This window comes from Homo sapiens, chromosome 9 (assembly GCF_000001405.40).
Source record: "Homo sapiens chromosome 9, GRCh38.p14 Primary Assembly".
NCBI lineage: Eukaryota > Metazoa > Chordata > Mammalia > Primates > Hominidae > Homo > Homo sapiens.
This window is the reverse complement of record NC_000009.12, coordinates 20,948,036-20,971,102: the sequence shown is the minus strand read 5'-3', so window position 1 is coordinate 20,971,102 and position 23,067 is coordinate 20,948,036. Positions and strand designations below refer to the sequence as shown.

Here is a 23,067-nt window from a genome sequence, read left to right as displayed (position 1 = left end):
AGAACAGAGCCTTCAGAGAGAAAGAAGACAGACAAACTTTACAATTTTGAGAAGTCACTGAACATAGCCCACAGCAAGAAATGAAAACAAACAATGAGGAAAAGAAAGACTGTAATACTCCAAGTTACCCTGTTACAATATCCAAAATGTTCAGTTTTCAAAGTTCTGAAGCTGGATGGTGGTGATTATTGCTTAATTAATGTTTAATGTGACATTAATGCTTAATGTCATAAAATCATATATTTAAAAGTTAAATTTTATGTTACATATTTTACAATATTTTGTTTTATTCTTGGAATAAAACTGAATTTTAACATTCAAAAAAGTCTAGTTTTCAAAAAAATATGGAGCATAAAATGAAACAAGGAAGCTTTGTCATTTCACAGAAGAAATTAACAGAAAATGTCCCAGAGGAGGTAAAGACATTGGACTTACTAGACAAAGACTTGAAAGCAACTCTCTTAAATATATTCAGCTAAAGAAAATTATGGACAAAGAACTAAAAGAAACCAGGAGAACAATACAAGAAAAGAAAAAAGAGAATATCAAAAAGAGTTCTTTTTTAAAAGAACCAAACAAATTATAGAGTTCTGTACTCTAAAAAGTACAGTAACTGCAATGAAAAACTCACTAGAGGGATTAAATAGCAGACTTGAGCAGGCAAAAGAATCAACTCACATAAAGATACGTCAACTAAAATCACTCAGTCTACAGAGAAAAAAGAAAGACGAAAAGTATGAGCCTAAGGATACATCAAGCATACCAACGTAGGCATAACAGGAATCTCAGAAGGATAGGAGAGAAAGGGGCAGAATGAATATTTGAAAAAGTAATGGCCTAAAACTTCTCCAATTTAATAAAAAAGACACAAATCCATACATTCAAGAAGCTCAACAAAGTCTAAGAAAGATAAAGGCAAAGAGATCCACACTAAGACGTACTGTAGCCAAATTTTTAAAAGACAAAGACTGAAAATCTTGAAAGCAGCAAAGAGAAGTGATTCATCACATACAAGGGATTCCCAATAAGATTAACAGCTCATTTCTCATCAGAAACCATGGAGTCCAGTAAGGAACAGGATAACACCTTTTACTGAAAGAAAAAAAAAAAACTGTCATCGAAAAATGCTGTATCCAACAAAACTATAATTCAAGTATTAGGGAGAAATTAAGACATATACAGAAAAACAAAGTTGAGGGAGTTTGTTACCCATAGACATGCCCTACGAGAAATGTTAATGGGAGTCCTCAAGGCTAAAATAAAAGGACACTAAATAGTAATCTAGATAATAATTTGAAGCTATACAAAGAAATAAAGAATTCTGGTAAAGGTAATTACATAGGTAAATATAAAAGCCATTATATTTTTGTTATATATCTATATATATATATTTTTTTATATTTTTGTTTTATAACTCCCCTTTTCACTTACTATGTAACTTAAAAGGCAAATGCATAAAACAATGATTATAAATCTACCTTAATGGGCACATAATGTATACAAATGTAATTTGGGACAGTAATAACATGAAAGGGAGAAATAGAACTTTATAAGAGCAGAATTTTTATATGTTGTTGATGCTCAGTTGGAATCAATTCAAATTAGATTAATCAAGAAATTTAACAATTAGAAACACATACAAATCAAACAGTAGAGCCCCCAAATATATAAATACTGACAGAATTGAAAGGAGAAATAGATAGCTCTACAGTAACGGTTGGAGGCTTCAATACTCTACCTTCAATACTAGATAGAATATCTAGACGTATGATTAATGAGGATATAAAGGATCCTTATTAATCAACAGTGTAAACCAGAGAGACCTAGCTGGCATAGCTAGAACAGTTCCACTCAACACCATCAGAATACACATTCATTTCAAGAGCACACGGAACATTCTCTAAGACTTACCACATGTCAGACCACAAAACAAGTCTCAATAAATTTTAAAAGACTAAAACCATACCAAGTATTTTCATAAACACAATGGAATAGAAATCAAGAACAGATTTCCAAAAAAACTGGAAAACTCACTAATAAATGGAAAGTAAAAAAGATATTCTTAAATGACCAATGGATTAAAGAAGAAATCACAGGGAAATTATAAAATACTTTGAGACAAATGAAAATAAAAATAAAAATACCAAAATTTATGGAATTGCACAAATACAGTATACTGGGGGACATCTACAGCAATAAATGCCAGTTTTAAAAAGGCATTTTAAAAAGTAGAAATAATTCTAATCAATATCCCTAACTTTATGCCTCAAAGAACTTAAAAAAGAAGAGCAAATATACCCAAAGGTAGAGGAAGGAAATAATAAAGTTTAGAGTGGAGATAATTAAGTATAAAATAAGAAAACAGGCCGGGCGAGGTGGCTCATGCCTGTAATCCCAATACTTTGGGAGGCCGAGGTGGGCAGATCACCTGACTTCAGGAGTTCGACAGCCTAGACAGCATGGTCAAACCCCATCTCTACTAAAAATACAAAAATTAGCTGGGCATGGTGGCAGACGCCTGTAATCCCAGCTACTCAGGAGGCTGAGGCAGGAGAATCACTTGAACCCAGGAGGTGGAGGTTGCAGTGAGCTGAGATCACGCCATTGTACTCCAGCCTGGGCGACACAGCAATACTCTAACTCTCCCAAAAAAAAAAAAAAAAAAAAAAAAGAATAAGAAAATACAAACAACAGAACCAAAAATTGGAACTTAGAAAAGATAAACAAAATTGGCAAACTGTTATCTAGACTAAGAAAAAAAACATAAAGAGCATGCAAATAAAATCAGAAATGAATATGGAAACATTTGTATGGACCTTGCAGAAATAAAAAGGATTACAAGAGAATTCTACGAAAAAATGTATGCCAACAGATTAGATAATCTAGATTAAATCGAAAAATTCCTAGAAGCACACAAATTATCAAAACTGAGTCAGGAATGCATAGAAAGTTTAACAGACCTATAACAAGTAAAGAGATTGTATCAGCAATCAAATATTTCCCAACAAAGAAAAGTTCAAGACCAGAAGGCTTCATTGGTGAATTCTCCCGGACACTTAAAGAATTAACACCAATCTTTCTCAATTTCTTTCAAAAAATAGGAGAAGGGAGTATTTCCTAACTTATTCTAAGAGATCAGCATTATCCTGATATCATAGACATCATAAAAAAGGAAAACCAGAGACTGATACATATTATGAATATAGATGCAAAAATTCTCAACACTAGCAAACAGAATCCAACAGCATATTAAAAAGATTATATACTGTGATCAAACACGATTTATCCCAGGAATGCAAAGTTTGTTCAACATAAGAAAATCAATCAGGGTAATATATAACATTAATAATACAAAGGAAAAAAGCCCGCAGGACTATTTCAATTGACACAGAAAAATCATTGACAAACACCCTTTTCCGATAAAAAACACACATAATACTATGTTAACATGATAAAGAAAAACTGTGAAAAACTCACAGTTAAATCATACTCAATGGTGAAAAACTGAAAGCTTTTTCTCTACAATCAAGAACAAGACAGGATTCCCAGTTTCACCACTTTGTACTGGATGTTCTAACCGGAGCAATTAGACAAGAAAAAGAAAAGGCATTCAGATTGGAAAGGAAGACATAAAACTATATTTGCAAATGATATGATCCTATATAGAGAAAATCCCAAACAATCTTTTTAAAAACTAATAGAGTTAATAAAGGAATTCAATAAAGTTGCAGGATATAAGACCAACACACAAAAATTAGTTGTGTTTTTATATTCTGGCAGTGAATAATCTGAAAAAGAAATTTAGAAAAAATTCCACTTGCAATAGCACTCAAAAGAATGAAATATCTGGGAATAGATTTCACCAAGGGTAAAGACTTATACACCGAAAAGTTTAGAATATGCTAAAGAGATTAAAGCAGCCCTAAATAAATAGAAAGACATCTTGTGTTCACAGATTCGAATACTGAATATTCTAAGATTATAATACTACCCAAAGTGATCCATAGATTCAATGCAATCCCTATCAAAATTCCAAGAGTCCTCTCCACTGAAATGAAAAAGTCAATCCTCAAATTCATGTGGAATTGCAAGGGGCCCCAAATACCTAAAAAAAAATATCTTGAAAAAAGAAAAATGTACAGAACTCATGCACACTAATCTTACTATACAGCTATAGTAATCAAAACAGCGTGGTATTAGTACATATAAAGACAGACATATAGACCAGTGCATAGGTTTATTTCTGGACTCTTGAGAGTAGAAATTACGTATATATTTATACCCAATTGATTTTTGACAAGGGTGCCAAGATCCTTCAATGGGGGAAAGAATGATTTCTTCAATAAATGGTGCTGAGACAACTAGATACTCACATGCAAAAGAATGAAGCTAGGTCCCTACCTAACACTAAATACAAAAATTAACGCAAAATGGGTTAACAGCTTAAATATAAGGACTAAACCAATCAAACTCCTAGAAGAAAACACAGGGGTAAATCTTTGACCTTGGATTTGGCAATGGATTCACAGATATGGCATTAAAAACCTGAGCAACAAAAGAAAAGCAGATAAATTGGACTCTGTCGAAGTTAAAAACTTGTTCATTAAAGGGTATTATCAAGTAAATGAAAGACAATCTATAGAATGGCAGAATTTGCAAATTATAAATAAGGGTCTATTTTCCAGAATATACAAAGAACTCTTACGACTCAACAACAGGCAATTTATTTTTTTTTTAAATAGGCAAAGGACTTGAACAGATAATTCTCCAAGAAGATATACAAATGGCTAATAAGTACATGAAAAGATACTTAACATTATTAGTCATTAGGGAAATGCAAACCCAAATCACGTGAGGTACCACCTTCACAGCCAATTAGTTGGCAATGATAATAATAATGGAAAATAAGTGTTGGCGAGAACGTGGAGAAATTGGAACCCTCCTATATTGCTTGCAAGAATGTAAAACAGTGCGGCCACTGTGGAAAAACAGTTTGGTAGTTCCTCAAAAAGTTAAGCAGAATTACCATACAACCCAGCAATTCCACTTCTAGATATATATATACACCAAGAGAATTGAAAAAAGGTGTTCAACCCAAAACTTGTACACAAATATTCATAACAGCATCACTTGCAATAGCCAAAAGGTAGAAACAACCCAAACGGCCATAAACTGATGCATAAATAAAATGTGGCATACCCATGCAATGGATTTTTATTCAGCAATAAAAATGAATGAAGTACTGATACTTGCTACAATGCGAATGAACCTTGAAAACATTACACCAAGTGAAAGAAGCCAATCACAAAGGCCACATATTGTATGGTTCCATTTAAATGACATTTAAAGGAAAGGAAAATACATAAAGACAGAAAGCAAATTATTGGTTGCTAGGATCTTGGAAAAATGGGAAATGGGGAACAACTGTTCAATGGGCTTAATGTTTCCTCTTGGGGTAATGAAAACATTCTGGAAATAGTCGTGATGGCACCACAATATTGTAAATGCACTAAATGCCACAGAAAACTTTCAAATGGTTAAAATGGCATGTTGTATACATTTTATCACCAAAAAAAGCATAAGAAGCTTAGAAAGGGATGGATGAGTCTTTAGAAGAAAAGTAGAAACCACAAGAGAAACTGATACCATGCAGCCCCTGAAAAAGAGAAAAAGAGAGATACAGTCTTGGCGCCTGATATCTTTCTGTTCTCGATACTCCCAAAAACAAAGTTTCTGTCTTTGGATTTCTGTGAAACCAAAGAATCCTTGCAACAAGTATTTGTGAGTCAGTTGAAGTCAGAATCATTGCTTTCTGGAATAAAAAGTACCCTAACACAACTGCTACATAGACATTGGCCCTGCCACTCCACCAAAACTACCCTGGCTAAGATTTCTAATGGCCATCTAAAAGCCAAATTCAAGGGTATTTTCTCAGTCTTTCTTTCCATACTTTTCCATATAAAAGAGTACCATGCCCTCATTCCTGAAATAACTGCTTCCTTAAGCTTCGGTGTTCTTCCTCTGTGAAAGTTCATCTACTTTCACAGTTTCAAATATTACTTATATGTTGATGAATATAAATCCATACTTCTGATCTAGGCCTTTCTCCCATATTTTAGACTTATTTCCCATCAGCACCTTCTCAAAAATCAGCACATTTCCTTAGGCTAGTGACCCACTAACCTGCTCCCTCCTGCCAACAGGTATAGTAGTGCGCCTTCCAGTGATGCTTCTCTCCCCTCCAACAAACACTCTTTCACTTTGTTGAAATGTTGATGCTCTGGCTCACGCCTGTAATCCCAGCACTTTGGGAGGCCGAGGAGGATGGATCATGAGGTCAAGAGATCAAGACCATCCTGGCCAACATGGTGAAAGCCTGTCTCTACTAAAAATACAAAAATTAGCTGGGCGTGGTGGCATGCGCCTGTTGTCCCAGCTACTTGGGAGGCTGAGGCAGGAGAATCGCTTGAACCCAGGAGGAAGAGGTTGCAGTGAGCCAAGATCACGCCACTGCCCTCCAGCCTGGCAACAGAGCAAGACTCCATCTCAAAAAAAAAAATGTTGATGCTCAACACACCTGCCACTCTTCTGTGCTATGCTACCAGTAATTGGTGTTGTAGTTCTGTTCCATCTTGAGATGTAATACTGGGAGTTCAAGAAATATTTTTAGAGAGTTAATCATTGCTATTATTATTATTTTTTCTTTTCTGAGACAGAGTCTTACTCTGTCACCCAGGCTGAAGTGCAGTAGCACTATCTTGGTTCACTGCAAGTAAGTGCAGCAGCACTAACTTGGCTCACTCCGCCACCCAGGCTCAAGCGATTCTCCTGCCTCAGCCTCCTGAGTAGCTGGGACTGCAGGTGTGCACCACCATACCTGGCTAATTTTTTGTATTTTCTGTATAGACGGGGTTTCACCATGTTGGCCAGGCTGGTCTCGAACTCCTGACCTTAGGCGATCTACCTGCCTCAGCTTCCCAAAGTGCTGGGATTACAGGCATGAGACACCACATCTGGCCAACCCCTGCTATTGTAAGGAAAAAAAAAATTCTGACAAATAAAGTAAATACATTTATAAACACACTCATTCATTCAACTATTTACCGAGTATCTATTAGGTATCAGGTACTGACTCTAGCAGCGGAGACAGTGTTGAACAAGACAGAATAGGTCCCTGCGCTCGTGGAGCTTATATTCTAACGTGAGAAGAAACAAGCAAGGCAAAATCAGGTGTAATAACTTCTGTGATAAAAAAATGCTGTGATAGGAGTTAACTGGTTGTCTATTCACATAACTCCATGCTGATTACACATATGCGCTAAGTATCTCTACACAACATTGGCTGCAGATTGCAGTCTTTGATTTCACAAAAAAGAAAACACAAAAATTAAGTTGCTTTTTGGGGTTTTCTTAGCACATGATTCATAGAAATAGTTTGATAAACTGGCAGACATTATAGTAAATACCTATGCAAGAATTACATCTCTCCATTTAAGAACAATGCATCCAATTCTGCACTGGAAATCATTAATTCATAAATAGATTTCTACTTAGAAAACTCTCAGAGATTGAGTATTTTCAAAATTACATAAAAAATTTTTTCCAGGCACTTTGAGAGAATCCACTACAAAGACTTTGGAGTTTCCAGAGGATCTAGGGAAACAGGCAAGGCGTCCAGCCTGCCTTCTAATACCAGGACCCCATGTGAAATATGACCATTTTCCAGACGTTTTATTCTTAAGATAATGAGCTCTCCTTTGACAGGACAACTTTCACCAGTACTGCACTTTACATGTTGCTTCTATATTCGCTAGAATTGACCTAATATACATGCAAGTGTCAGCAACAAAGAAAATTTGTAAAATGGAGAATAGGGTTGAAAAATCACATCAGTCCAATAATGAAATAAATCTTCCACATTTAAAAGGGCAAAGAATCAGTATTGAGTAGTATAACTACACTCACAAAAAATTTTCCACTATTTGTAGGGAACTGATTCAGACACTAACTGGAATGAGAGGAACTATAGTAGCTGTTGGAAATTGAGAAAATATTTGGCAGTTTCATGCATTCTGGAGGAGGTATGGAAAGAAAGAGAGGGAGTCCCAAAGCCAAGGGAGAACACAGTGAACTAGTTCCTTCCCCAGAGATCTTTAGCACTGGATAAAAGAATCCACATCTAAACAACAGGAATGATCAGTTCCTTTATTATAATGCTTTGTCTTTCAAACAAGTTTTTTAGATAAAAAGAAATAATGAAATGCTTTACGGACAATGGATTTGGAACTGAGAAGGCCTAACAGTACTTGTTAAAAAGATCCAGATGTTGTAAAACCTGGAAACAAAGTTACTTTAAATCTCTCATCCAGTTGACAGCCTCAAAGAACCCTGATATAAACAGTATATCCGAACATAATGCATTACAACAGGACCCATTATCGCACATACTTTGGCTACACAGAGGATCAGATCTCAATGCCACAATTCACATGTGTAATCCTTAGAGTAAAAGTCTGGCAACAAGTAGACTAACAGCCTGAGTCTGTATATTTTCCATCGCTAGCATATTGCTTTTGTGGTTTGGACATATCTTTACTTTCTCCAGCTAAATGCTGCTTATAGGTAACTTAGCTTAGAATTATCTAGTGTATGTATGTATGTATGTATGTATGTATGTATGTATGTGTGTGTGTATATATATATTATATATGTGTATGTTTAAAGTTATAGATAAACAAATATTAGAAAACTATTACATGCCAATCTGTTCTAAGTATTTACGATAAAACACAGCTATTCTTCCTGTCCATTGAGGAAATCACACCTAGTGGAAAAGACAGAGTTTAAACAAAGAAGTATAAATAATTATGAAAATGATGACACATATATTACGCACCATGAAAATATATAGGAAAGTATCACATAAGTAATCTAACTTAATCTGGGAACATCACGGAAGCCCCTATCTTCCCCCACCAAGGAAAGAATATTTAAATCAAGATGAAAAGGATGAGTACGATTTTTTTCTACACTAAGTCCATAGAAAACACAGGCAGAGAGAATTACAGCATTGCCTATTAGTGGGAACTAGGAGATGCCTAGCCCCCTGAAAGAAACTACAATCAAGACAGTTTTTAAAATAAATTGATGATTCTGATACATCAGACAGACACTAAAGGTTGATAGGTTTTCTATGTTAAGACCGAATATTTCAATAACATTTTGTTATTAAAAGCAAAAATATCCCAAGGCCTCTTAAAATCAGGAAGGCCACAAAGTAGGATGGCACCCAGTGGAGACCTGAGTGAGGAAGGCAGTTTAGGACCGTGGTCCAGCAGGGACAGGAGATTACTTACATCCAGGAGGATTGGGCAAATGAGTAAATATATTGAGGATAATGAGAGTCAAGTTTCTTACTGTCAGAGAAGGGAGTTACAAATACAAAAAGAAAGACAGATTGAACCCTTTTTATTACATATATAGCTAAATACAGAAATAAAAATACATGAGAGAGAACAAGAACATATGTTTCCCAGCTCTGTCCACTGAAACGGCCTAGAGACAAAGATTACCCCAGCAGCAATGAGATGCTTTGCACACAGATGTTAGCTTCTAAATACCATGCTCCACTAAAAGAAACCTGGAGTATCTATTACAGGGCTGGGGATAGTACAAAATAAACCTAGGACATCTTCTTGTGCCACAAAGGAAGCAGTCAAAGAATGAGGGGGTCATGTCAAAAGGACACAAGAGCCAACTTGTAGAGGTTCTTATTGGTCAAATTTAATATTTTGTTCAATTTATTGGACAAGTTAAAGATCAAAATAATAGATAACTGAATAGTTAAATAACATAGGAATTTACGAGTCTACACTAACACAGAGAGAGAGAGGGAGAGAAAGAGAAGAGGAGGGGAGCGGAGAGGAGGGGAGCGGAGGGGAGGGGAGGAGTGGAGAGGAGAGGAGAGGAGCCATTTCTTACAGCAGAACGCCTAATAAAAAACATAGATGGGTAGATTGCAAAAATTTTCTCCCATTCTGTGCACATGTATGTTTATTGTGGCACTATTCACAATAGCAAAGACTTGGAACCAACCCAAATGTCCATCAATGATAGACTGGATTAAGAAAATGTGGCACATAAATACCATGGAATACTATGCAGCCATAAAAAAGGATGAGTTCATGTCCTTTGTAGGGACATGGATGAAGCTGGAAACCATCATTCTCAGCAAACTATCACGAGAACAAAAAACCAAACACCACATGTTCTCACTCATAGGTGGGAATTGAATAATGAGAACACTTGGACACATTGGACACAGGAAGGGGAACATCACACACCGAGGCCTGTTGTGGGGTTGGGGGAGGGGGGAGGGAAAGCATTAGGAGATATACCCAATGTAAATGACGAGTTAATGGGTGCAGCACACCAATATGGCACATGTATACATATGTAACAAACCTGCACATTGTGTACATGTACCCTAGAACTTAAAGTATAATAAAAAAAAAATAGATGGATTCATGGATTTTTAAAAATCACCTTTTGACAACCATCACAGTAATAATTCAGGCAAGAAGTATTAGTGAATGCTAAAACTAATCGGTGAAAATAGGATGAAAATAGAATATTTGTGAAATTTCAAAACATCTCCACATGAAAGATTATTGAAATAAGGGTAAAAGAATAAGTTCATAGTGGAGAAACCTAGAAGACAACATCTTATCCAAGTGAGCAAAGCTCACCACCCCAGTGGAGGCAGCTGAGACGTCATGTGCCACAGATGGGATGCAGTGAGAAGCACACAGCTCCACGTCTGTCATACTCTACCAAAAGTGACCCACCTAACTCTAATATGAGAAATATCAGGCAAACCCAAATTAAAGAGCATTGTATAAACTAACTGGCTTCTAATCTTAAAACTCGTTAAAGTCAAGAAGTCACAGAAAAAACTGAAAAAGTGTTCAGGTTGAAGGAGACCAAAGAGACCAATAAATAAGTGCAGAGCAACATTCTAGATGAGATTGTTTTTCTATTAAAAACATCACTGGGATTGTTGATGAAACTTGAATAGTGCCCCTGGTTGAAAGGAATGTGGAGTTTTTCTTACTATTAAAAAAGGAAGACAATTTTTGCTACTTTTCTATGCATTTTACAACTTTTTTATGTTTGAGATTGTTTCAAAATAAAAGGGTAAAAAAATACAAATTTAAAAATAAATTCAGAACAGAGAACTCAGAAATTAATCTATATATCTATAGCAAACTGATTTTTGACAAAAATGTCAAGAACACTCAGTGGGGAAAGGACAGTCTGTTCAATATATGATGCTAGGAAAACTGGATATCCATAGACAGAAAAATTAAACTACACCCCCCAATCTCTCGCCCTACAAAAATCAATTCAAAATGCATCAAAGACATAAATGTAAGACACAAAATGATAAAACTGCAGGAATAAAACATAGGAGAAATGCTTCAGGACACAGGCCTAGGGCAAGATTTTATGAATAAGACCTCAAAAGCATAGAAAATAAAAGCAAAAATAAATGGGATTACATCAAACTAAAAAGCTTCTGCATAGCAAAGGAAATAATCAACAACATGAAAAGACAACCTGTGGAATGGAGAAAATATTTGCATATTATTCATCTGACAAGGGACTAATATCCAGAATATGCAAGGAACTCAAACATCTCAACAGCAAAAAATAAACAATCTGATTTTAAGATGGGGAAATTAACAGATATTTCTCAAAAGATGTACAAATGGCCAATAAATATATGAAAAAACTGCTCAGCATCACTAATCATCAGGAAAATGCAAATCAAAACCACAATGAGATATCATCTCTCCCCAGTCAGGATGGCTATTATTAAAAACAAACAAACAAACAAAAAACAGCAAATGCTGTTGAGGATGTGAAGACAAGGGAATTCATTCACTGTTGGTGGGAATGTAAACTAGTATACCCACTATAAATAACAGTAGGGAGGTTCCTCAGAAAACTAAAAATAGAACTACAATATGATCTAATAATCCTCCTACTGGGCAGGTATCCAAAGGAAAGGAAATCATTCTATCAGAGACATCTGTACCCCATGTTTATTTTAGTACTATTCACAATAGCCATGACATGGAATAAATCTAGGTGTCCAACAATAGATGAATGGATTTTTAAAATTTGGTATATATCCACAATGGAATACTATTAAGCCCTCAAAAAGAATGAAGTCCTGCTGGTCATGGCAGCATGGATAGAAATGCAAGACGTTATGTTAAGTGAAATAAGCCAGGAACAGAAAGTTAAATAGCACATGTTCTCACTCATATGTGGAAGCAAAAAGAAAGTTGATCTCTCAGAAGTAAAAAGTAGAAGAGAGAATACTTAGAGGCTAGGAAAGAGCAGGGGGAAGAAAGAGACAAGGAGAGACTTGTTAAAGGATACAAAACCACAATTAGATGGAAGGTATAAGTTCTAGTGTTCTATACTACTGTAGGGTGAGTATAGTTATCAATAATACATAGTTTCAAGTAGCTAGGAGGAGGAATTGAATGTTCCCAACACAAAGAAATGATAAATGTTTGAGATGAGAGACACACTAATTACTCTGATCTGATCACTATACATAATATCATCAGAACATCTCTATGTACTCCATGAATATGTATAATTATTCATCAATTAAAAATTTTTTTTAAAAATTTCAAATTTACTTAAAAAAAAAACCAACCTCTTAAACAGTAAATAAATGTACAGATGTTCAGACCTTCTGGCAATTATATGCAAATGAGAGCAGTCTTAAGGTATCATTTTATACCTGACTGGTTTTTATTGTTATCATTTGTTTTTTGGGCTGCTTTTTAATATGACATTATAAAAGAAGGAATTTATTCTTTATATTGTTTTATAAGTACTGTTACATAAAGTGACTCATAATTCTTACAAAACTCTATAAAAAACAGTCAATTATTTTCTCCATTTTACAGAAGTGGTCAAAGCTTACAGACACAGTTTGCCTGAAGTTATACAGCCAGTAAGTAGTGGAAGTGGGATATGAACCCAGGCAGCCTGACTCCTATGCTTTTAACCTCTATGTTTTATATTTTTGCAAATTCATACAGGGCTGAGGTACTGAAAACTGGCAAAGCTTTTTGAAGGGCAACGAGGCCTGGCCATCCCTATAGTCACCAAATCCTTGGACTCCTGCTCACTACATTACTGAGAATTTATCTGAAGGAAAGCTGTAGCAGAAGAGAGCTATATGCATAACGATGTTCACTAAAGGCCAGGTATGGTGGTGCATACCTGTAATCCACTTTGGGAGGCAGAGGAGGGCAGATAACTTGAGGCCAGGAGTTCAAGACCAGCCTGGCCAACATAGAAAAACCCCACTAAAAAAAAAAAAAAAAAAAAAAAAAAAAAAGAGAGAGAGATATCTATGCTATCTATCTATCTATCTTTGGGCTTGGTGGCACTTGCCTGTAATTCCAGCTACTCAGGAGGCTGAGGCAGGCCAATCACTTGAGCCTGGGAGGCAGAGGTTGCAGTGAGCCGAGATCACGCCACTGCACTCTAGCCTGGGCGTCAGAGCAAGACTGTCTCAAAAAAAAAAAAAAAAGAAAAGAAAAGATGTTCACTAAAATTGAAATTTTAAAAATGACCAATACGAAAATGATTAAGTTTATTATGACTTATGAATTTGATGAAATATTCTATAGTCATTTAAAAATGATCATTATGCCATGTACAGTGGCTCATGCCTGTAATCCCAACAATTAAAGAGGCTAAGTCAGGAGGATTGCTCAAAGCTAGAGTTTGAGGCCAGACTAGGCAACATTGTTTCCATCTCTACAAAAAGTACAGAAATTATCTGATCCTGGTTGTATGTACCTGCACTCCTAGCTACCTGGGGGGCTGAGGCAGAAGGATCACTTGAGCCAGAAAGTTTGAAGTTGCAGTAAGCCATGATCGTGCCACCGCACTTCACCCTGGGTGATAGAGCCGAGACCTTGTCTCAAAAATAATAGCTGTTATTATACAATTGTTATGGTGATATATGAAAACAGGGAAAGTTTATAATATAATATTAAGTTCAAAAATACAGGCCAGGCACGGTGGCTCACACCTGTAATTCCAGCATTTTGGGAGGCCGAGGCAGGCGGATCACCTGAGGTCGGGAGTTCAAGACCAGCCTGACCACCACGGAGAAGTCCCGTCTCTACTAAAAATACAAAAAATTAGCCAGGCGTGGTGGTGCATGGCTGTAATCCCAGAAGCAGCAAATTAAGTAATATCCAGAAATGATAATAGCTGTAGAGTCATGGGATAATTGGTGACATTTTTCCTTCCAAACATTTTCATGAGGTTTATGAAAACAAACCTCATGAAACAAAAAAGGAATCAAACACACCAAAAACATATGCTATTGACAAATGTCCAGAAACCAATGCAATAGGATTCTTTTCTTACTTCCTCAAGGCTTTTTTTGGAAGACATGGGTGCTAGTTATGTCCATTTGCATGTAAAGTCATTACTTTTTTTAAAATAGGACAATAAAATAATATACATTTTATGGTACAATATAACACATACACATACATATAGGAGGACATTATGAAGGACATATTTATAATGGCTATCTCCAAGTGGTGACATGACAGAGGATTGTCTTATTTTCTTCTATATACACTTTTAACTTAGTATTATACAGATATACTGACTTCTGATAATATTTTTTAAAGAGTTGTACAGGTAAACTATTTCTAAATTAAAATACTCAAAAATCACACATAACCTTGGCAACCAACTCCATGATTTCATCAGAAAACAGGACAGCTTTCTCGTATTATTTATTCTACTCAGAGTTCACTAAGTCTGTTCCCTTGGCATATTTCCTTCTTAACAATTACCTCTCATGGTAATAGTTCAAAAATGACTGAAGGAGCATATGCCTACCTGTACTTCGTATCCAAGCCCAATACTTACACACGCAGATCACTGACCAATTAGCCCATATCAAGAAAGAAAGCCATTCATAATGACTATTACGTGGACTTAAATATACTTTGCTTAGTTAATACTTCTTACTGTGAATTTTTAAAGCCTAATAGGAAAATATAAGCTTAGAAAGTGTTAGCCACATTCCCCAGCAATATAATAACAAAAATAATGCTATTACATAGAAATATCTAATATTAGCATTAGAAAGAATCACTTTTATTAAGTACTTTAAATATGTTTCTAATGTATTATAAAAGAAGTGGATAAAATCTTGATGAGATATGAACAGCCTATGATCTTGAGAAAATCAGAAATCAGACAAAAGAATAAAAGTAGAAAAGAAGCAAAAAAGTAAAAGTCAAAAGTCAGAGGTTCTTCAGGGGGAAAAAATATCCATGTTAGGAGGAATTAGATGATGAGCAAAGATTTTAAGGCTAGCGTAGTCAAGAAATGTTCACAAGAACAGATAATAATGACGACAAAAGATTAAGGAACAATATATCTGATAGAGGAATTCCAGGGCTATGAGAGAAGAAAGAAGAATGTCACATGGTATAGCAAAAAAAAAAAAAAAGACCCAGTTATAGTCAAAACCATGAATTGAATTATTTAAAAACTGAGGGAATCTCATCTATTTAGTATCTTTTTAAAATGTGGGTCTGCATGAAAGAATGGATGCTATGAACATCTTATATGTTCTATCACATGAGTACTAAAGTCAGTATCCTAAGTGAGAAAGCCCTAAACATTAGAAAACAGATTAACAGATTCACTATCTCAAATTTGATTGGCTAAATTTGAGACCACCATGCCCAAACTCATCCTAGCACAAATGTGGATTGGGGATGGCCCATCACATTTCTTTCCTCTAGTGAGTTGCTGAAGTTAAAAGTAGCAAGCAGAGACAATGAAACCATGCCATCCCTAAACTTTTCTGCCTATGCTAAGCATTATTTTTATTTTCTAAAACCATTTATTCCTCAAAAGAGTTCACTAAAGTTGCCATCCTTCCTATCAGCAGTCCCACCGGGCTCTGATGAGTGACATCCAGACATTTAAACTCAAAAGCTGCTTCAGAAGGGAGTTATTAAAATTCAAATGAGCTGGGTATATTGAAGAAGAAAACACTCGTTTGCATGCACACCTCCGCATTTGGCCATCCCATTTAGCCCCACAGAGCAGGGTCTGGTTTTGTTTTTGTAAATGGGCTTTGGAGGCGGAGGTCAGCCTCCCACGGCCCCCACTCCTCTGGGGTCATCATTAGTAATGTGTAAGGCTGAATAGATTTTCCTCTGAATCTAGTCAGCAAACCTGACAAGACGACAGCCCTCTCCCACAACCTGAAAATGCCAAAAATCTGATTGGTAATATGGCATTCTTAATACTTCATTTATTTGTTTTAAAACAGCTTTCAGCAAGACTGCACATAACAACACTGATTCCAGTTCCACTTGATTTTTCAGCCTTATAGCAGAACATTTCCTGTTGTATGATGACTACAGAATCATAAAAATGTTACATTCAACCGAAGATTGAATAAGATTCAGAGAAAATTCATGTCTGCCAAGAAATATGGATCTGGGGAGCTAGACTAACATTTTATTCACTAGAAAAGAAAAAGAGTCTATCTTCTACTTGACCTTAAGAGTTTTTACTTTTATTTCTCATGAAAATATCTCACATCATTTTAAAATTTCATATCAATAAGCAACCTAACAAAAAATATAGCAGAAATATATATGTATTCCTAGCACTAGTTTGGCCATGAAAATTTTAGATTCTCATTTAGTAAGAATTTTCTCCTAATGAAGCCATCTCTACTATAATATTTATTTTAAGTAGACTTAATTTATGGTAACATAAACAATGAACTAACTGTACATTACGTGTAATATATGATCTGTTTATATATAAATATGTCATGTACAACAATGACATAACCATATGTCAATTTTTACTGAGGATAAGTAAATCATGCTAATTCAGGACCCTAGAATAATAGCACAAATTCTAGAACTCCAGAAATTAATGGAATTTGTCTCCAGGCTATGAAAATATTCAAAATCTGGAAGCTCCAGGGATTACTGTACCCAGTGGGAAATCAGACAACACAGATTTAACTTCCCTTCCAAAGGTAACATTTTACTTCCATGACCCTCACAAATCAAACTGCCACTTCCAGATTTTTTCCAGTTTTTTTGTTTATTTTTTTCCTTTCTAAAATTGGGATGGTCTTGCTATAATACAGGCACTGATTTTGCCCAGACTGACCTAACCAAGGAAGACTGACCTAGCCAAGGAAGAATAAAATTAGCAAACCCATCAATGAAAGAATATCACGGTAACGAAGCTGATTCCTGAGCCATGACATGTTCAGTTCTAATCCATTTTTTCCTCACAGCCCTGAAAACTATATGTGTATTATTAAGGAGCATTTATTCAATAAGTTACATGGCACTGTTCTGGCTCCAGTTAAAAACAAAAGGCACTCAATCTCTGTCTTCAAGTTGCTTGTACTTTAATGGGGGTGGCAGCAATACAGAATCACAAAGGCTCAAATGTGTGCAAGGAAAAGAACACAAACTAAAAATAGGAACTAGAGCCAGTGATTTCAACAACACAGAATGATTATAAAAGATGCAGGGAGAAGATCTACTTGCAAGACAGATCCCGGGATAGAAACTGCACCCAGGTGTATTTTCTCTTTCTAGATCACACTCACTTGAAATGGATAGGAAAAGTAATCTGTGCTTATACTTTGGAAAGGGCCAAATGGGAGATTAAGATTTTCACAGAGCCACCCATGGTCGGAGACAGTGATTCTAAGAAACCACACAATGTGTATATTTACGTACCAATTATTGTAGCTAGCTGCTGGTCATCTCTATTGCAAAGATGGTTTAGCAGACGAAAATATTCACCCCTTCAGATTTATATTGCTTGATTCTACAGAGGCATGCTTAGGGTACACAAATTTACTTATAACAACATGGAGATAGAATGATAAAATTCAAGAAATGTGCTCACTTGCCTTTTTTTCCTCCTGTAATGAAGAAGCCAATAGCTGCTCCAATAAAACTGCTTTCAGGCAAGTAGCTATAGTCAGTAGGAACTGTGGAGACAGAAAATGATCAAATTAACCAGTGAACTTGGCAGGACTAATGAAGGAAAGATAATGATCTCATGCTGCCATATCAACCTAGAGACAAAGTGGAGATGTTTATGCCATTAATCTCAGCACAACACTTTGTGGCTGCAACTAATTCTATTAGATTAAGTGACTGGCCTTGAAGTAATCACTTAAGCTATGTAAGCAAATCTAAAATGGTGGCAAAGTTAGAAAAGTCTGGAAAAAAAATTACGGAGGATGAACACTTGAGTGAAGTGGTTTAAAAAAAAAAACCCTTTCCACATTGTCACATCAATAAGCCCTAATCCAGTGACCTCCTCAGCGTTCAGCAACGAGTCTGCCGAGCTTCAACGCTGAGACCACTGTAGTAGGTGCCACTTCAGGACATGTGGAATCGAATATATGAACCATAGAAATTCAACAACTAGTACTAACAGCACCAATCCCTTACCTAAGGCAGAGACCTGTAAGTGACCAACATGTGCAAATAACCAGATGTGGTTGCTGAGCTGGAATGGTGAAGCAGTGACATTTATGCTAGTTGAATCCTGAGTTTCTCCTAAATTCTTTTCCTTCCAGTTTCCCATAATTGTTTCATGAGATGGTTTTTACTGCAATAAATGACTCAATTGGAAAATTCCATCAGGAACAAGTAGCTGTACTTTTCCAGATACACAATCATTTTGTTCAGAAGAACCTGGGTATAAGATGATTCACTAGTACCTGATTTGAGTATATGTAGGCCAGACCAAGTACCCCATAATATGGCAATTAAAAGCCTACATAAAAAAATAAAAGCCTGCCATAAATATCCTATCTTACCAGGACACTGTGAGATCCCTGCCCTTCAAAACTAGTATTACCCAGGGCTTCCGGTATGACTAAGTTTTCTTCTTTTTTCCATTTTAATATGGTAACTTTAGCTGTCTAAAGTTCACTACATTGCCAAGGCTGTGGACCAGTTGTCCTATTTCCATAGCTACAGAATGACTGAAAGAAAGGAAAATGGTAATTTCAGAGGCCCACATTTACGTTAATGCCATCTGTAGACTACTTGTCAGTGGGTAAGTAAAACTAAGTTTTAATAAGGAATCATTGGTACCTGAACCTCTCTGGCCTGGGTCCAAGATAGCCAGTGGGTCAAAATTCTATAAAGAGCAAGGAGCAGATGTATTAACGGTCATGCCTTCCCCAGAAAATCTCCAAGTACAAATGCACATTAAGCATGTCGGGACTGCAAATATCTTTTACTGCTTTTACCAAAAAGCTAGAAATAGAAAAGGCCTTGTCATATTAAGGCCTAGAATTTCAATTCCAAGGCTAAGAAGGTACACACCTTTAAATGTACTACCCCATTATTTTTTCAAAATCGGAGGCCAGAAAAACTCCAGCCATATATGAAGAGACTTTTAATGAAACATGAATACTATACAAACTACCATTACATCTAGTAAAATAAATCTGTTCCAAGCTTTAAGGACCTGGTTCCTAGTTTCTAGATTTGTCACCAAATTAACTCTGTATGTAACTCATGTAATCTTTCCGAGCCATGAGTTCTTCGTTTGTGAAATACAGGACACTGAATGTCTAAACTGTTCTCTAAGGGAGGCAGAGAGAAGGAGTAAAAAGAGTATGAGCTTTGGAGGCCAAAAGATCTGAGTTCAAACCACATGTCCATCACTTACTGTCACATGACCCTGGGTAAGTCAGGAAGCCTTTCCATACACCATTTCCCTCTGACGTAAAACAGAGATGGTAATACCCATTACTTAGGGTTGTTGTGAAGATTAATGCTCTTAACAAACTACAGAGCGCTGGGTCGGCAATCCCTCCCTTCCAGCTCCAGTATTTTATGACTTTAATCTTACCAGAGGCTCTACTTTGACTTGAGGATAGAGTAGATAGATGAAGATGTCCAAGAAGCCAGACTGCATTTGACTGGAGACCAATCACCCCAGAGACACTAATGACCTACAAATAAAAAGGTAACAGTTCAATGATGGGATAAGATCCAAGTTCCATTCAATAAAAGGTCACTCACAGAAAGTCACCAGTCATTTAGGAGGTGGTGGCTTGGCTGGCAACGAGCAGTCCTATGACAAGATGTAATATCATGTGTCTAGTACGCTATACCTGTGTCATATAGATACTCAACAACTGTCTGCTGAATGAATGAATGATTCAATCAATCATTTAATCATGGCAGAAAGTACTAGTGGTTTTCTCAGGTTTCACTGAGTGAGACTGGTCTCAAATAAATTTTCAAAAAAATTGCAAAAGAACAAAATCCAGAAAGTACAAAAGGGGTGACAGTTACTTAAGATGAAAATACCTCTAAAAATGGAAGGAGATACATTTTGTTCTCTTCTGTAAATTATGCTCTACTGCTGCTTTATCATTCATAAGGATTTTTAAAATAATAATTTTCATTTACAGATTTTTTCTCCCACATTATGGTAACTTAAATTTCAGTAGAATTATTTTTTGAGAATATTTCTATTCATACATGCAAAAAAGAGTTTTGTCTGTTCAGAGATTTTTGTTTGCTTTTAAAAGTCTGAATTACTAAAACTCCTTTATGTGATAGGTATTATCATCAGCCACATTTTACAAGAACGAAAACAAGTATGCTAAATGAAAAGAATAAAATATAAAGTTCTATATACACTAAGAATACCAACTATGCAAACAAAAGAATACTTGAAAAGAAGTATGATGAAATATCAATAACAGTTGCTTCAGGTTTGAAGGACCATCAGTGATATTTTTTTCAGCTTCTTTCATTACGTGCTTTCAAATTTTATGCAACAAACATAATCTTTTTTTTTTAAATCTTAAAACAAAAAAACATTTCTTAGGAGATTAATATGTCTATTCTTTAGTCAAGGATAACAATTAAAATGATATGCCCAAACACTTTTATCAGGGACATCTGAATTAGTGCCTCTTGACCTTTCTACCAAGATCTGCCATGCCCTTTGATCACCTTCTATTTTTCCTTATCTTTAGGGCCTGACATTCCTCGCAGAATCAGGCTTTAATTTTTAAGAAAAACCAATGCCAACTTAAGTTTACTAAAAAAAATGCCAGCTTTCTTTTTTTCCCAAAGGTAGTGCATGTTTGTCAGTTAACACAGGTCCACACATCACTCCCAAATGCCTCTTGAACTCAGCGGGAATAACCAGAGACTTTCCCATTTTCCAGGTAAAACATGTTGTATCATGTAATAGAAAAAAAGACAACAAAGGGGGATATGTTTTCCACCCAAGGATTTTAAATTCATTTTCTCACCTGAGTTAAGGTTCTAATGACTTCATTAAGTCTGCCTTGAAAATGAGAGGTCTGGATGGCTTCTGATTTCAGCTGAAAGAATAAGAAGAAATACCCATCCCACCCACCCCCATAAAAAAGTTAAGAGTTATATTCCCGGTGCATGAGCTATCCATCTTCTAAGTTATAAAACAGTTTATCATTATGTCCTTCTATTTCAAATACATAAGCTATGAACTCCTCAAAGGCAGGGCCCCATGCTTTATCTATCATTGATTTCCTGGTACCTGTTCACTGTGGCATGTAAGCAATCACTCAATCAACTTTTAATGCATAAAAACAGAGCTCCTTTAGAATTACTTATAAACTTACACATATATATGTCCACTGTGAAAATATTTTGAAGTTAAAGAACAACCACATAGACATATATCAGACATTAAGATGCAAAATGGAGTTTCTTGCAAATAACTTTTGAAATTTCTTATCCTTCAATCATCTTTTCTCAGGCAGGGAAATTTGTGGAGAGCACCTAAGTTGGCCAGGTTTAATCTCTAAAAACCAAATTAAATAAAGAACAAACCTCTATAGAAATAATCCTTGGTTAAGTGCAATTATTCATACAGCAAGGCATTAAAAAGTCTGGTGTAACTATTACCATGAGCATAAATCCTTCTGTTCTTAGCATACTAAAACACTGGGTATTCTTCTCCCGCTATGGCTATGTACATATTTAGATGTCTTCCCCTCCATGGTTCCTTTCTTTACCTGCATTACATCCCCTTCAGAGCCTACCAAGGCCACCATGCCATGAAGAGCTGCCAGACAAAGCATTGTGGGAGTGCCCTGAAAACAAAGCATCAGAATATGAAAAGAGGGAATCAGTCCTTGGGTTTAGATTCTATAAAACTTCTGAGGACACGGAGAAATAAATGGTCGAATTGGTACCAAACTTATAGGGTCAACGTAACCTGTATAACTGAACCAAAAATGGCAGCAGACTAAAATAAAGTAACAGATTAAGGTTGTTAGATCATGGGTGGATTCTTGCTTTTATTTTTCAAAAAACAAAATGTTGTCTTAAAATTAAAACTCAGACAAAATAGCCAGTTCAAAAAAATTATAATAGTTGGCAGAATGCATTATTTATAAGGGATTTAAAAGTATGTGATCTCTTTCATTTAAAATTGCCTATTCTTTTACCATTAACGTATATATCTCAGCAACTCCTATAAATGATCCAATAAAGTAGTTCTTTTTCCATTATAAAAATATGAAATAGCATACAACAGGTGACCTCTACCTCTGTTAGAACAATTCTGATCCAGGCAGGGAGTAGTTTGCTGCCCAAGTCTTCAGCTTTTCCATGTCCACACACAGACAATCCATGAACTATGTTTCCTAAAGCCAGGGCAAAACCTGAAGTCTGATATAAATAAATAAAAATGGGGTAAGAAAAAGAAAAAAAAAAGACACAGATTTAGAATGTTTATAAATAGCAACATAAACACTTTTAGTGCTAACTTTCCTAATGACAAGCTGTATTTGTCATATGAAAAATCAGACTTAAGTGTTTTTTTGTTTTTTGTTTTTTTTTAATCTAGACTGGTTTGCATCATAAACTGCAGGGTCTAATTGCAAGGAATTCAGCTTCAGTGAGT

General features: G+C 35.7%; 1 protein-coding gene across 19 annotated transcripts in view; it reads right to left on the bottom strand.

The window, feature by feature from the left end:
• The window catches only part of FOCAD (focadhesin), a 340,326-nt gene that overhangs the window by 24,848 nt on the left and 292,411 nt on the right, over nucleotides 1-23,067 (bottom strand). For all 19 annotated transcript variants that reach the window (XM_047423537.1, XM_047423539.1, NM_017794.5 and 16 more), the window contains 5 exons: nucleotides 22,710-22,832; nucleotides 22,175-22,252; nucleotides 21,428-21,499; nucleotides 20,005-20,107; nucleotides 18,038-18,118 (listed from right to left, as the gene is read on the bottom strand). In XM_047423537.1, the coding sequence (XP_047279493.1) occupies nucleotides 18,038-18,118; nucleotides 20,005-20,107; nucleotides 21,428-21,499; nucleotides 22,175-22,252; nucleotides 22,710-22,832 (457 nt within the window). The remainder of the gene's footprint in view (nucleotides 1-18,037; nucleotides 18,119-20,004; nucleotides 20,108-21,427; nucleotides 21,500-22,174; nucleotides 22,253-22,709; nucleotides 22,833-23,067) is intronic.